This window comes from Homo sapiens, chromosome 15 (genome assembly GCF_000001405.40).
Source record: "Homo sapiens chromosome 15, GRCh38.p14 Primary Assembly".
Taxonomy (NCBI): Eukaryota; Metazoa; Chordata; class Mammalia; order Primates; family Hominidae; genus Homo; species Homo sapiens.
The window spans coordinates 25,842,987-25,856,718 of record NC_000015.10 but is presented as its reverse complement, the minus strand read 5'-3'; the positions used below and the strand labels follow the sequence as shown (position 1 = coordinate 25,856,718).

At 45.6% G+C, this 13,732-nt stretch overlaps 1 protein-coding gene and 1 non-coding gene across 9 annotated transcripts in view, besides 4 other annotated features; both read left to right on the top strand.

The window, feature by feature from the left end:
* Positions 1–13,732, top strand: part of ATP10A (ATPase phospholipid transporting 10A (putative)) — a 192,852-nt gene that overhangs the window by 8,370 nt on the left and 170,750 nt on the right. The window lies entirely within an intron of this gene.
* Positions 5,946–5,995: a silencer, noted in NCBI's record as "silent region_6265". NCBI's record gives its function as "represses an Ori minimal core promoter by ATAC-STARR-seq in GM12878 lymphoblastoid cells {active_cell/tissue: GM12878}" and the evidence as "EXISTENCE:reporter gene assay evidence [ECO:0000049][PMID:35858748]".
* Positions 6,276–6,335: an enhancer, noted in NCBI's record as "active region_9165". NCBI's record gives its function as "activates an Ori minimal core promoter by ATAC-STARR-seq in GM12878 lymphoblastoid cells {active_cell/tissue: GM12878}" and the evidence as "EXISTENCE:reporter gene assay evidence [ECO:0000049][PMID:35858748]".
* Positions 6,386–6,435: an enhancer, noted in NCBI's record as "active region_9164". NCBI's record gives its function as "activates an Ori minimal core promoter by ATAC-STARR-seq in GM12878 lymphoblastoid cells {active_cell/tissue: GM12878}" and the evidence as "EXISTENCE:reporter gene assay evidence [ECO:0000049][PMID:35858748]".
* Positions 7,894–7,972, top strand: MIR4715 (microRNA 4715). Its single transcript, NR_039865.1, has one exon. It is a non-coding gene; the product is annotated as a microRNA 4715 (primary transcript).
* Positions 10,803–11,644: an enhancer, noted in NCBI's record as "H3K27ac-H3K4me1 hESC enhancer chr15:26090222-26091063 (GRCh37/hg19 assembly coordinates)". NCBI's record gives its function as "activates a minimal SCP1, AML or CMV promoter by ChIP-STARR-seq in naive H9 embryonic stem cells {active_cell/tissue: H9 hESC(naive)}" and the evidence as "EXISTENCE:reporter gene assay evidence [ECO:0000049][PMID:30033119]".

The window sequence follows — 13,732 nt, the reverse complement described above, 5'->3', positions numbered from 1 at the left end:
ATTAGGAGACACGTGTGCTTACTTGTCTTTTTGTGATGTTGACAGCCATTGATGATCATTGCCTATATCCATTGATTTGTTAGAGGTTGCCAAATGGTGGTGTCCTAATTTATTATAGGAAATACTTTTATAAAGAGACACTTCCCCTCATCTACTCCCTGGTTTCCCAGTGGTCCAGCCTGTATAGTAAAAGAGAAATAAGTGCTTGATATTGGATCACTAACATCTAACGCTAACTCTATTAGTCCATTCTCAGGCTGCTATGAAGAAATACCCAAGACTGGGTAATTTATAAAGAAAACAGGTTTAATTGACTCACAGTTCTGCATGGCTGGGGAGGCCTCAGGAAACTTACAATAATGACAGAAGGCACCTCTTTACAAGGTAGCAGGAGAGAGAATGAGTGCAAGCAGGGGAAATGCCAGACGCTTGTAAAACCATCAGATCTCGTGAGACTCACTCATTAGCACGAGAACAGCATGGAGGAAACCGCCTCCATGATTCAGTTACCTCAACCTGGTCCTGCCCTTGACACGTGGGGATTATTACAATTCAAGGTGAGATTTGGGTGGGGACAGAGAGCCAACCCATATCAGTAACCAGTTAGCTTTCTAAAATTCTTAAGCTTTTTACTTTGAAATCATTTTAGACTTAACAGAGAAGTTGCAAAAATAGTACAGATGCATACCCCTTACCCACCTTCTTTTAATTTTAACATTTAACTGCACTATAATTTTCAAAAACCAAGAAAATAACATTAGTACAAAGCTATTCACTAAGTCACATTCTTTATTTAGATCTAAACAGTTTTCCATTAATGCATTAATAAGTTTTGGTCAGTATGTTTACATGTTGATCTTGTGTCCTGCCACCTGGCTGACTCACTTATTATATCTAATAATTGTTTTGTGGCTTCCTTAGTCTTTTCCATATAGAACCATTCATCAGTAAGCAGAGATAGTTTTACTTATTCCCTTTCAACTTGATACCTTACATTTCTTTTTCTTGCCTGATTGCCCTGGCTAGAAGCTCCAGTATAATGTTGAATAGAAATGGCAAAAATGGATGTCCTTCTCTTGCTCCTGATCTTAGGGGGAACGCATGCTTTTTTGCCATTAAGTATGATGCTAGCTGTTTGCATGTATGTGTGTGTGTGTGTGTGTGTGTGTGTGTGTGTTTTAACCAATACTGAGATTTCAAGCTGTGGGGTTTTATAGATGCTCTTTATCAGGTTGAGGAATTTCCCTTTTGTTCCTACTTTGTTGAGTGTTTTTGCATCAAGAAAGAATTTTGGATTTTGTCAAAGGCTTTTTCTACGTCTGTTGAAATGATCATGTAGCTTTTATGTGTAGTTCAATTAATATGACATATACTCATTAATTGATTTTCAAATGTTAAACCAATCTTGCATTCCTGGGATAAAACTTACTTGGTCATGGTGTACAATCCATTGTTATATTTTGCTGGATACCATTGACTAGAATGTGTTGGAGAATTTTGCATTTGAATTCATATGCAATATTTGGGATTGGGGGCCGTATGTGTGTCTTTGTCTGGTTTTGATATCAGAAAAGTACTATACTGGTCTCATAGAATGAGTTGGGGAGTGTTTCCATGTTTCCACTATTTTCTTTTTTTCTGTTTTTTTTTTTTTTTTGTGAGACGGAGTTTCACTCTTGTTGCCCAGGCTGGAGTGCAATGGGGCGATCTCAGCTCACTGCAACCTCCGCCTCCCAGGTTCAAGCGATTCTCCTGCCTCAGCCTCCGAATAGCTGGGATTACAGGCAGGCATCACAATGCCTGGCTAATTTTTGTATTTTTCTAGTAGAGACTGGGTTTCACCATGTTGATGAGGCTGGCCTCGAACTCCTGACTTCAGATGATCCATCCTCCTTGGCCTCCCAAAGTGCTGGGATTACAAGCGTGAGCCACTGCGCCCGGCCTGTTTTCTTTTTTGGAAGATTTTGTGAAGATTTGGTATTAATCCTTCATTAAATCCTTGGAAGAATTCAACATGGAAGACAACTTCAGTCTGAGCCTGGGCTTTTCTTTGTGCGGAGTTGTAAAGATTACTATTGCAACCCATTTACTTGTTATGACTCCTTTCAGATTTACTATTTCTTCTCAAGTCAGTTGTGATAGTTGTATCTTTCTAGGAAGTTGTCCATTTCTTTGAGTCACATAATTTGTTGTCATATGCACTTGGTATGCACTTGTAATCCTTTCTATTTCCATGAAGTCTGTAGTAATTATTGTAGTGTGGTCTAATAGGGATTTTCTTTCCCCCTATTCCTTCTCTATTGATGAACTAGAATTCTTAGAACAGCTGTTTTTCTTTCTTATTGATTTGTATACTCCATGACTGATGTCATTGTAGTCTACTGGAAATTTGTTTTATTCTGGGGATGATCAGTGGATATTAATGTAATTGATCCTTTTGCTCACACTGTTCCAGGCTGTGGCTTTTGGGAGCTCTTTCAAGCTGGCTGTCCTGTCCTTCACAGGCCCCAGGCTTTCTTCTTTCTGAACTCTCCCTTACTCTCTGACTACATGGGCTGTTCCAGGCTCATCTATTTTGGCTGGCCCAGCTCTAGAACCAACCACTTCTCCTGAGGGCTATATAACTTTTCTAAAAAATATATTATTATGAATTTGTGGATTTAAATATAATTTATTGATTTTAGTTCATTGCAGTTATTACTGTAATTGATTTCTTTGGTCAGTAGGAACCAATCAAGTTGTCTCCTGAGTCTTTTTTTTTTTTTCTTTTTTTTTCTGAGACAGGGTCTAACTCTGTTGCCCAGGCCGGAGCGCACTGGTGCAATCATAGCTCATTGGAACCACAAGTGGTCTTGTTTTTGGTTGTTTTGTTTTGTTTTGTTTTAGCTGATTCTTTTGGATTCCACCAGGTCTTGCCATTTTTAATGCAGTTCTTCTGTACCTTTCAGTGGCCTTTGAAGCCCCACCTGCCTGTTCCTGGGTGCTATGCCATGGCCTGCATGGTGCTCATTTAATGGTCATTCATTGTGGTGATTGTCAATTCTCAGGTTCCATCCTTCCTGCAAGTAAGGGGTCAGGGGTCTCATCTGGGGGGGAGTACTTCCTTCCCGACGTGTTGGTAGACATTTAACAATCACAGTGACTGGCAGTGTCCCTGGCACTGGTACTCACAACCGGGGTTACTGGCTGACATGTGATGGCCCCACCTGCCCAGGAAGGTCCTGCCCCATTGACTACCCTTTCCCAAAGGCCAGTCAGGCCTTCACTGAGAAGCATGTTTGGAAGAACCTTTTAAAGACAGGGCTTCCCCACGTTTTGGGAAGGTTGAAAAGGGGCTGGGTGACTGTTAGACTCCTGCTGGTCACAACATGGTGCTTCAGCTTCTTGTTGAACTCCTGCAGCAGGGGAGCCCACTGTGCACATTTGTACAAGACTCACCTTGCCATATTTAGCACACTGACAGAACTTACAGGAAGCATGAAGAGCTATTTTGATTTCTGCTTTTTTAGAAGACTCTTAGCCTGACTTTCTATGTTTACTTGTTTTGCATTTTCCCGGAGTGCAGTTTGTATGAATTACCCTGCACATACCTTGTGGTTATTTTTCCACTGGGGATACTGTATTTTGGAACATTTTGCCTACCAAACTATTTTTATTAGGCAATTAAGAATTTTTGTCCTCATTTTAAGTTAGAGACAATTAAAACGCCCTTGTAGGGGCTAGAGGAAAACTTCTCCTTTGCCCTCTGAAAGTTTGCTGGAAATCAACTGACAAAGGGCAGATTAACAGGAGAAAAGGCAAGCACATTTATTAACATGCATAGCACAGAAGAACTGTGGGAGAATGATTGCCCAATCTCAGTGGAGTACGCAGGGTTATATACCCTCCTTCTCAAGGGAAAGGGAGATGGGAAGTGGGGATGATTGTACAGGGGTAGTAAATGAGTTTTAGGGGAATTCACTGTGCTTGAAGAACACACCATAGTCTGGGCCACAGTCTTTGAGGCCTGCATAACAGACAGTGGTTTGTGACAAAAGCCTGTCCAGCTGTGTTGACAGACTTCAGTTTTTCTTCCCACAATATGAATTCAGTTAATAAAAACCTGTTTTCCTCTTTGGAGTGTCTGGATTTTAGGTTTAGGGAGAGAAGGGAACTTCGGAGGAGTTCATCTTGGGCTTTGGGTGAGACAGAGGATTGAGAGGTGAGGTTGGGGGGCGGTTAGAGAGACGCTGAGGGTTCTACAGTTCAGCGCATCAAAGTGCCATATTTTGCGATATTGGTTCCTGAGCCCCAACACCCTCAATGAGGTCAGACCCTTGCCAGCAGTTAGATGCTAGGCAGAATGCATTTCTCTTCATCCCAGTGTTCTTATTTAAATTGGAGGGAAGATGGCATTCAATAGGAGGGAGTATAACATTACTTTGGAGGGAGGATGGCATTTAACAGGAGGGAGGATGGCATTCAATAGGAGGGAGGATGGCACTTAACAGGAGGGAGGATAGAGGGAGGATGGCATCAAATTGGAGAGAGGATAACATTAAATTGGAAGGAGGGTGGCATTCAATAGGAGGGAGGATGGCATTAAATTGGAGGGAGGGGAAGAGAGAAGATAGCAGCTTCTGGTGTGCTGTGAGGAATACATGAAATAATGCAGAGAGGGTGGGCTACAGTGCCAGGCAGGCAGGCAGGTAAGAATTTGAAAAGTTTAGTTGCAACTCATTAGTATTCCTGTTACAACTGCTGTCATTATTGCTATTAAGATCTTTTGATCAAAATAAACTTCCTCAGTTTTTTTAAATTTCTAAAACAGTTTTATTTTTAGAGATGAGGTCTTGCAGTGTCGCCCATGCTGGTCTCGAACTCCTGGCCTCAAGCAATCATCCCACCTCAGCTCCCAAAATACTGAGACCGCACCTGGCCTGTCCACATTGCTAAGACACTGAATTGTGCCTCCAAGCCCAAAGAATTTTAGGTGTCATTTAGCTGTATACTTGTACCATGAGGAAATGGACAGCTTTTGGAAAGAATTTTGAAATATTGGGAATAGATCCGATCCCCACTGAGAATTTTGAGGACCACTAAGGATCCAGAGATACCCTCTGTTGGCTCAAATGTCTTCTGAAAAATGTACCTCACTAGAAGAAGCATTCTGGGGAAATGGTAACATGAAAGCATTCTTTGTTTAAATGGCAATGTGGCGTATATTGTAAATGAAATTGGATTTGGTAATAACCTTTTAGGGGGAAGGTTTGTTTTGAAAACATAAAATGAAGTAAATTCATTGGCCCATTTAACGATGTCTTTGATTGATTTTTGCTTATCAACAGTTATAACAATAATAATTAAAAAAAAAAACCTAAAGTAAGTCTTGGTTTTCAAAAGGAAACTCAACCTAGGCCACGAATGGAGAGCCTTGGAACAGAGCCCTCCATGCAAGTCTTCTCAGAAAGGTGCTTAGTAGGTGCTTTGGAGGCCCGTGAGCTCTTGCATAGTAGGGAACTTTAGATCCGCTCAGAGACCTGCCTTATTTCTGTTTCAGCATCAGATCTGCCTGTTGTATAGTAATCTAGGACTTTTCTAGAAAGGTCCTGGGGTGCGAACGGACCTCAGCGTGGGCCAGGCCAGACTTGACAAGGCTCCCTCCCCAAGTTCGGCGGAGTCCCCGAGATCCCCACTCACCCCTCCCCAGCCTCTGTTTGCTTTGCTTCCCCCAAGAAGTGATGTCTGGCATGGAAACCACTGCTTCTAAAAGAATCCAGTACACGAGGGGTTAACGAAATGGCAGGAAACCCAGGCTGTCACCGCACATTTGAACTGAGTCATTTGTAGAGTTTAAAGCATTTCACTACTTTTATGTCCTGCCTTTTGTTTTTGTATACTTCTAATAACAGTTTAAAAAGTCAGGGGCAGGAAAGGTAAATGTAAGTTCCAAGTTCCATCCTTTGTTCAGATGTGATCTTTGGGCCCTTAGGTGCTCTGTGCAGGAGGGGAGGTGAGCGCGGCCAGGTCTTGGGGGGTGGTGGGCGTGGTCTCGCCCTGCCCGGGCCGCGGAGTGAGTCACCGGGGCTGGGGGGGGAGGGAGGGAGGGAGAATGGAGCAGCGCTGGGTCCGCTGCCGCCGGACGCTCTACACAGTTCCAGTTCTCCAAAACTGGCCGCGTAGAATGGCGCCTGGGGACTCGCCTCGCCTGTGGGCTGGCCCCCAGGGTGTGGCCACATCCCTTTTTCTGGGCCTTTCCCTTCAGGGCTCGGCTGAGGCGGTACCAGACACAGCCGGGGCCTCTCCTGTTGCTTTTTGCCAAGTTGGAAATCAGTTTTGTTCCCCGTACAAAACGCATCCACGCTGTCTGTCTCGGTCATCTCCAGTGCTGCACCTTGGCCCAGGAGCATGGTTGACTCAGAAAACCGAGAGCATTGTGAGAGGAAAGACGAGGCAGGGAGAGAGCGAGCTGGGGAGGCCCCTGTTCCTGCTGGGTGCTCCCCACTGACTCTCTCTCTCTGAACAAGCCAACCATTTTTGAACATAAGTCAAAGCGATATTTTCCAGAATGTCTCATACACATAATGGGCTACAATTGTTCACCTCCACTGAACAGTTTCAAAATATACGTGGCATGTAATTATTTTCTCAAAAAGGGTAATCTTATCGACCTGCGTGATTTAATTATATTTAGTTATGTATGTCTTGTCCCTCATAATTAATTGGTAGAAACCTAGGTAATGGCATTTCATAGTGCCATCGTGTCATTGTCATTATTTTATTTATTCGTGTTGCCAGGACAGACTTTAGTCAAATCAGATGTGTGTGTCTTTTTTAACTCTCATTGTGACTTGCATTGTAATATTTTCCATGTACACATTTATTTTTTTTTTTGGAAAGAAAATCATTGCTTTTAAGCAGGATGGAAAGTTTGATTCATTCCATAGAAATCTGGCTGCTGCCTGTGGTCTTTCACATCCATGGGGAGCATGTCTGGGGGCCAGGAGGCCATGCTGACAGAGACCCTCAGGTTCTCTCTGGCATGGAGGTGAGAGCCAGAGTTGAGCTCAGTCCTGCAGCTGCGCCGTGCTCCTCCTTGATCACGGTTAAATTCCTCCGTTTCTGGTCTTTTCTCTTTTTCTCCTTTCAGTTTCCTATCCTGTGTTAATTCCTCTGTAAAGCGTCTGGCCAGACTTAATGGGAATTCCTTCATAATGCGCCCTTGGGACTTGGAGAAGGCGTAGAAGGAGGGAGGGTGGTGTCTGTAATTCTTGGCTCTGTTCCCAACTACTGCATGCAGTGACATCTAAACTCAGTTCCTGCTTATTCAGTCCTGTACTAAGGATGTCTTTTTATTTTCTCTTGTCTGGTGCTTTGACATCTGGAGCCTTGCTGCCTCCGGAGGGACAGGCCCTCCCAGGGCTAGATAATTCCTAGAGATAGCAAACAGCATTGCTGCAGCATGCCTTACGTGTGCAAGCCACCCAATCCAACGTCCACACCCTCGGCCCCCTCTGTGTTTCATCCACTGTGCACCTGCTCTCATCACCCCAGGTCCAGCCACCAAGCAGCTAGGGACAGCCCTTTGTCCCAGGGTCCACCGAGGTTATTCAAACTAATGGATTCTAAACCTGCTTACCCCGCCTCTCCTGTTCTTTCCCATGGAAGGCACAGAAAAGACTCTCCCTCCTCTCACCAAGGTCTCTGCCTCCTAGGACGCTGGTCTCCCCTATGTTCCCCCTCCCACAGCGGTAGGTGTGGCGAGCTCCTTCTCTGGAGGACTCTGAGTAACAAATCCTCTTTTCAATGGCAGTCCTCTCCTGACCTGTCAGCCCCATAGTGCTTGAATAATAATAGAACTTAAATTGTAAAACATCCCTGGAGCTACTGCCCTCCCTTAGGTCCCATGAGAAAGGGGAATGAAAGTTGGCTGCAGTTAAGGTGGCTAATCAGCTGATGGTGCCACCTTAACTGCAGCCAATTCTAATTCCCCTTTCTCTTGGAAAAAGATGGGGAGATTATTCTGGAGTGAATTGTGGGCCCAGTGTAATCACAAGTCTGTAAAAGTGGAAGAAAAGCGGGCAGAGAGATCCGATATGAATACTACTTAATTTGCCATTGTTGGCTTTGAAAGTGGAGGACCTAGAGTCAAGGAGTGTGGGCGGCCTCTAGGAGCTGGAAAAGGCAAGGAAACATTCTCTCCCGCCGCCCTGCCGAAACCATCGTTTTGACCCAGTAAGATCCATGTCAGATTGACCTCCAGAATTGTGAAATGACAGATTTGTTTAGCCGGTGCAGTGGCACAAGCCTGTAGTCCCAGGTCCTCAGGAGGCTGAGGCAGGAGGATCACTTGAGACCAGGAGACTGGGGTTGCACTGGGCTGTGATTATGCTACTGCACTCCAGCCTGGGCAAGACCCCATCTCTATAAAATGAAATAAATAAAATAAAACTCCCCAAATTTGTGTTACTTCAAGCCACCAAGTTGTCATAATTTGTTGCCGCAGCGGGAAGCTAATACATGTGTTCATTGCAGAGTTTAACAAACAGATACCATGTTTATTTTTTTGTTTGTTTTGCATCCTCATTTTACAGATGATTAAAAAAAAAAAACACTTTTTAGAGGCCAGGTCTTGCTGTGTTGCCAGGCTGGTCTTGAACTTCTGGGCCTCACACAGTCCTGCCTCAGCCTCCCAAGTAGCTGGAAATACAGGCTCTATCTGCCATGCCTGGCAGAAACCACCTTCTTAACTACAGCTTTTTGTGTGTTAATATTGATTAAGATGATTTCCGTTAAAAAATGGCTGTAGGCCAGGTGTGGTGGCTCACATCTGTAATCCCAGCACTTTGGGAGGCCAAGGTGGGTGGATTGCTTGAGCTCAGGAGTTGGATACCAGCCTGGAAAACATGGCAAAACCTCATCCCTACAAAAAATACGAAAAATTAGCTGGGCATGGTGGTGCATGCCTGTAGTCCCAGCTGCTTGCGGGGCTGAGATTGTTTGAGCACAGAAGGTTAAGAGTGCTGTGAGACGTGATTATGATTGCACTACTGCACTCCAGCCCAGGTGACAGAGTGAGACTCTATCTCAAAAAAAAAAAAAAAAAAAAAAAAAAAAAAAAAAAAAAAAAGGCTGTAGCTGTTTGAATTAGCTAGGAATATATGGAATAGCTCCAAATTGCTTAGTGGGATCATGAAGACCCCGTGACCCGCAAAGATCATGATACGGTGGAAAAAAGGTGCTTTTTAAAATTGTTGTTCAAATACTTAGTGATAAAACTTCACGTATTTCTCTAGCACCATATACTTGCCTGAATTTTTATGAATTTGTATGGTACCATTCTTAGCTAGCTCTGTGAAGAGCTTATAAATTCTTCATTGTTCCTGTGAGGAAATGGGAGCCCAGAGAGGGAGGTTTCAGTCCAAAAGGGGCAGAGCCTGGGAGCAGAACAGGTGGCCCTGGGGCTCTGGGGTCCCAAGAGATGTTACTCAGGGCCACTGGCTGAGTGCCTGCGCGTGCTGCTCAGTCAGAGCCTCCTGTGTCCCTTTGATCTTTGATGTGTGTGGATGAGATCAAGTTGTTTAAATATTTCTGGCTTTTGAGAAAGTGTCTAACACCAGATAGTTATCCTGATAAAAGCCAATACCCAGAATTTAACAAGGATAGCTGACAAAGATGCTCTATGGATGCTTTTTAGAAAAATGTATATGTTATTGATCCTTTTTAGTGTAGCTGGTTCATTACAGCCACAGTCTTCAGATGTTTTTGATCTCACACCTCTATCAGTAAAAAGTGGGCATGTGCACCCAAAGTGGGGGTGTGTGTATTTATTTATAAATTACCGGCATGTAATGCATAAATATCTTATATCTATTGAAACATACAAAATATAAATGAAAATAAAATAAACCACAATTACAAACAAAGGTGGTAGTGTTTTTCTGCACTCCTGTGATGGTGTATGTTTTTGTGTGTGGGCATCACTTTAGGCACCACTACCCAGAACATCTTCCAGGAGCTTTATGTTGTGATGTCATTTTAGATCACTGAAGGAACATTGCACGTGTCAGGCACGTGTCCGGCACATGTCAGGCTAGGTGATTCTCATGCTGTCTCTTTTATCCAGGGATGTTTAGGAAGGCTTGAAGAACGCTCAGCAGTGTGGGACCACCACCATGGTCTACCCTCATGCCCAGGGGTGGCCCTTCTGCGCTGAGCATGTCAGTTCTGAAGGTTGAGGCATGAGGGGTGGGGCGCTCTGACTCCTCCACTTCCTGGAAGTGGACCACGTGCTAACTTGGGGCTTGTCACTGTCACACTGAGCAGCTGAGCTGTGCTCCACTGGCACACACAGCCTTATAACCTTAAGCGTGTTCTATCTTGTGCTTTACTTTTAAAAAATTGTTTTATTATGGTGAAATATACATAACATAAAATTAGCCATTTAACCCTTTTAAGTGTGCAGTTCCGTGGAATTCAATACCTTCACATTGTTGTGAGCATCACCGCCGCCCTCCTCTCCAACACTTTTTATCCTCCCAAACGGAAACTTTGTGCCCGTGAAACACTAACTCCCCCTTCCCCCATGCCCAGCCCCTGGCAACAACCGTTCTGCATTCAGCCTCTACGAAGTGGACTGCCCTGGGTGTCTCACGTGAGCGGAATCACACAGTACTTGTCCTTTAGTGACCGGCTTATTTCACTCAGCATCGTGTCCTCAAGGCTCATCTGTGTTGGAGCATGTGCCAGAGCCTCCTTTCTGAGGCGGACACCATTCCATTGCATGAACCCACCACCACATCTTGTTTATCCATTCATCTGTTAAGGGACCCTTGGGCGCTTCCACCTTTTGGCTGTTGTAAACAGTGCTGCTGTGAACATGGGGGTACCAGTGTCTGTTTGAGTGTCTTGCCTTTTTCGTCCGTGGAGACATTCTGCATGGATTCCGGGACGGCTTTGTTGGGGTGGTGCCTAGGGCAGCATGCACCCTGGGGACCCTCCCACGGTAGCATTTGTGCTGCTCTCAGGACCTCTAGGGAGGTGGCCCCTTAACTCACTATGCTGCTGCTGCCAGTGGAGAGGTGTCGGGCCCTGGCTGGGTGTTTACTCCCCTCCCTGTAGTCCTTTGGCCAGGGAGCCCAGGAGAGTTGCTGTCAGCATGGGTGGGGTCGGGTGCCCTGTCTGTGGTCTTGTTGCCTAGATGTCATCCCACACTTTCTCTCAACCTTGACACTTCTTGTAAGGCCCTGCTCTCTGGTAACAGGGACATGACTGTGAGCTCGAGGCAGAGTATGCAAAACAGTTCCGGGGAGGCTCAGTGTGTATGTTGGTGGAGGTGGCCGGGCCTTATCACAGTTAACTTCGGCCATCACCCAGGTGGCCTGACACACACACACACACACACACACACACACACAAACACACAAACGGTCCGTGCTGATTTCCTGATTTTGAAGGCTTCACTTGGTCTTCTTGGCCTTTTGTTGAATATGTCACTGCCACCTTCGTTAATACATTCAGTCTGTGTCCCTTGTGCGTGCCCAGATTCCTGGCAGTCAGCAGTGAGAAGCTGCCTGCCAGCGCTCCCCGCAGTTCCCAAGAGGCACCAGCCAGAGGGGCTCTGTGAGAGGCGAGGTCTTGCTTGGTGAGTGTCCACCTCATCACACACTTTCTCCTGGTGTTTGGGGGGGATTTGTGGAGAACCACTTTCTCCGGGTATTTGGTAGGAGTTTATGGAAAACCTTTTCATTCATCCCTTTGCTATGGCCCTTGTTCAGGCCTGTGCCCCTTGGATAAAATCAGAAGCACACAGTGACTGGGGATGGGAGGGACAGGGAGAACAGCCATGCCTGAAACCTGTCATTTAAGACAAGCTGAAGCCACCTCATGTGCCGGTGCAGGCTGCCAGCCCCTCCTTGTCTCATTTTGCAGACAGGGGCTAAGCATGTCCCCAGACGGCAAGCCACAGGGTCCACAAGTGCTGGCTGTTTGGCAGCTCGTGCACAGCCAGGTCTGCCCTCCTCACTGCTCGCCCACCGCAGCCTCTCAGGGTGGTCCAGCCAGGAGGGGCAGGAGCCCTCTTCTTCCTTTGCCACTCAGGGTGCATGGGGCGGGCAGGAGGATCAGGTTGGGGGGCTGCACCCTGAGTAAGTGCTTGTTCTCCCTACATTTTAAAAGCTCACAGGAAAATGGAGAGTTTTTCCTGAAAGAAAACAATTTCAATTATTTGGTTTACTTTTGATTACCTGGACAATTAATATCCCTTTATTTTAAAATATGACATCATAAAATCAAATGGACTAGGAACATGGTGATAAAATAGAAAAATATCTCTTAAACTTCCTCAGTTTAGGAAGACCCATAAAATTCCCTTTTACTTGCCTCATAATTTAACTTGAGGTTGCAGTTTATGAGTCCTCCCTTTCGTAGAGGCTCCAGCTGGCAAAGACGTGCCGTGGAGAGAAACGCACCACCTGTTCCCTCAGGGTCCCTTCTACTGAATGGCAGATTCTCCCCTCGTCTTTATGAAAATGTTCAAATTGCAGTGTTGTGACACATACCCCTTGTAAATAACAAATATGCGAGCAAAGTGTATGACAGAGGTATGTTTTAATACCGTGTGCTTTGTGGCCTTGTATCATTAGTTTCTGAAATTTTGACTCCTTCATGTTCTTGGGGTGACAGTAAAATCAGGTGATCTCTCTATTCGATTTGTCTTGAACACAGGTATCCACTGTGGTGGGCGCTGTCTCAGTTTTGGCGGTGGGTGATAGTGTCATTTCAGACAAGCACTCTAAAACAGCTCCGCGAGACCATGGGAAGCAGGAAATCGGCTAAAAGGGAGACTCCAGCCCTTCCAGTGCCTGGTCCGTGTTCTTGAACTTAGTTTCTTGTGTTAACCGGAAAGTGCATCCAAAAATAGCTTCTAGAGTTAGTGGGGTCTGCGACGGGAGCTGTGGGCATGGCATGATTTTCCCAGATAGCTCAGATGGGAGTTTCCCTGTGGCAGCCGTGCGTCTGTCTTTCTACAGGGGACCAGTTTTCCTTGAATATCCCCAAAGGACCTTTTCTACTCTGGATGCCTGGATAAACTCTGAGTAGATGGAGTCTGGGAGGGATGTTTATAAGAAGCTGTATTCACTCATAGGTGTCTAAGAGGGCTCTAAGCCTCTGTGCCTGCTTTTGCTGTGATGCGGGATGCAAATGATGAATTCCTGCACAGAGAGGAGTAACTCTTTTCTGCACCAAGTCTGGGCTCTGGTTTGGGAAAATCTATCATCCTGTCTATACAGAGGCACAGTTCAGCCAGATTCTTGGTGAATTTATGATGCTCCCCACTCCCCGTTTAAATCACATCTGTCTCTCTCCACTTGCACTGAGGAGTTTCCTTCCATCTCTGAACTTTGACATATGTGGAGCTGTGCTCCTGGGAGCCTCTGCACACACTGATGTGGGTTTGGGTGGTGATAGGTGGAGTGCCGAGATCACACCCCGGGACGGTGGGGGTGGGGGGTGGGGGGTGGAGGGTGGGCCTGCGTCTCCTAGGGTTCATGGCAGCCCTCTGGTGCCAGGGAGGAGGCACATGGCGTGACTGCGCTGGACATGAGTTTAGCTTAATTTCGTGCCAACTGTTGGCACCTCCTGGCAGCCACTCAGAACAATAGGTTTTGAAATTCTGGATAATGGAGGGTGATCATTTTGATATTTAAGTAAGCCTGCTTGGCCAGGCACCATGGCTTGTGCCTGGAATCCT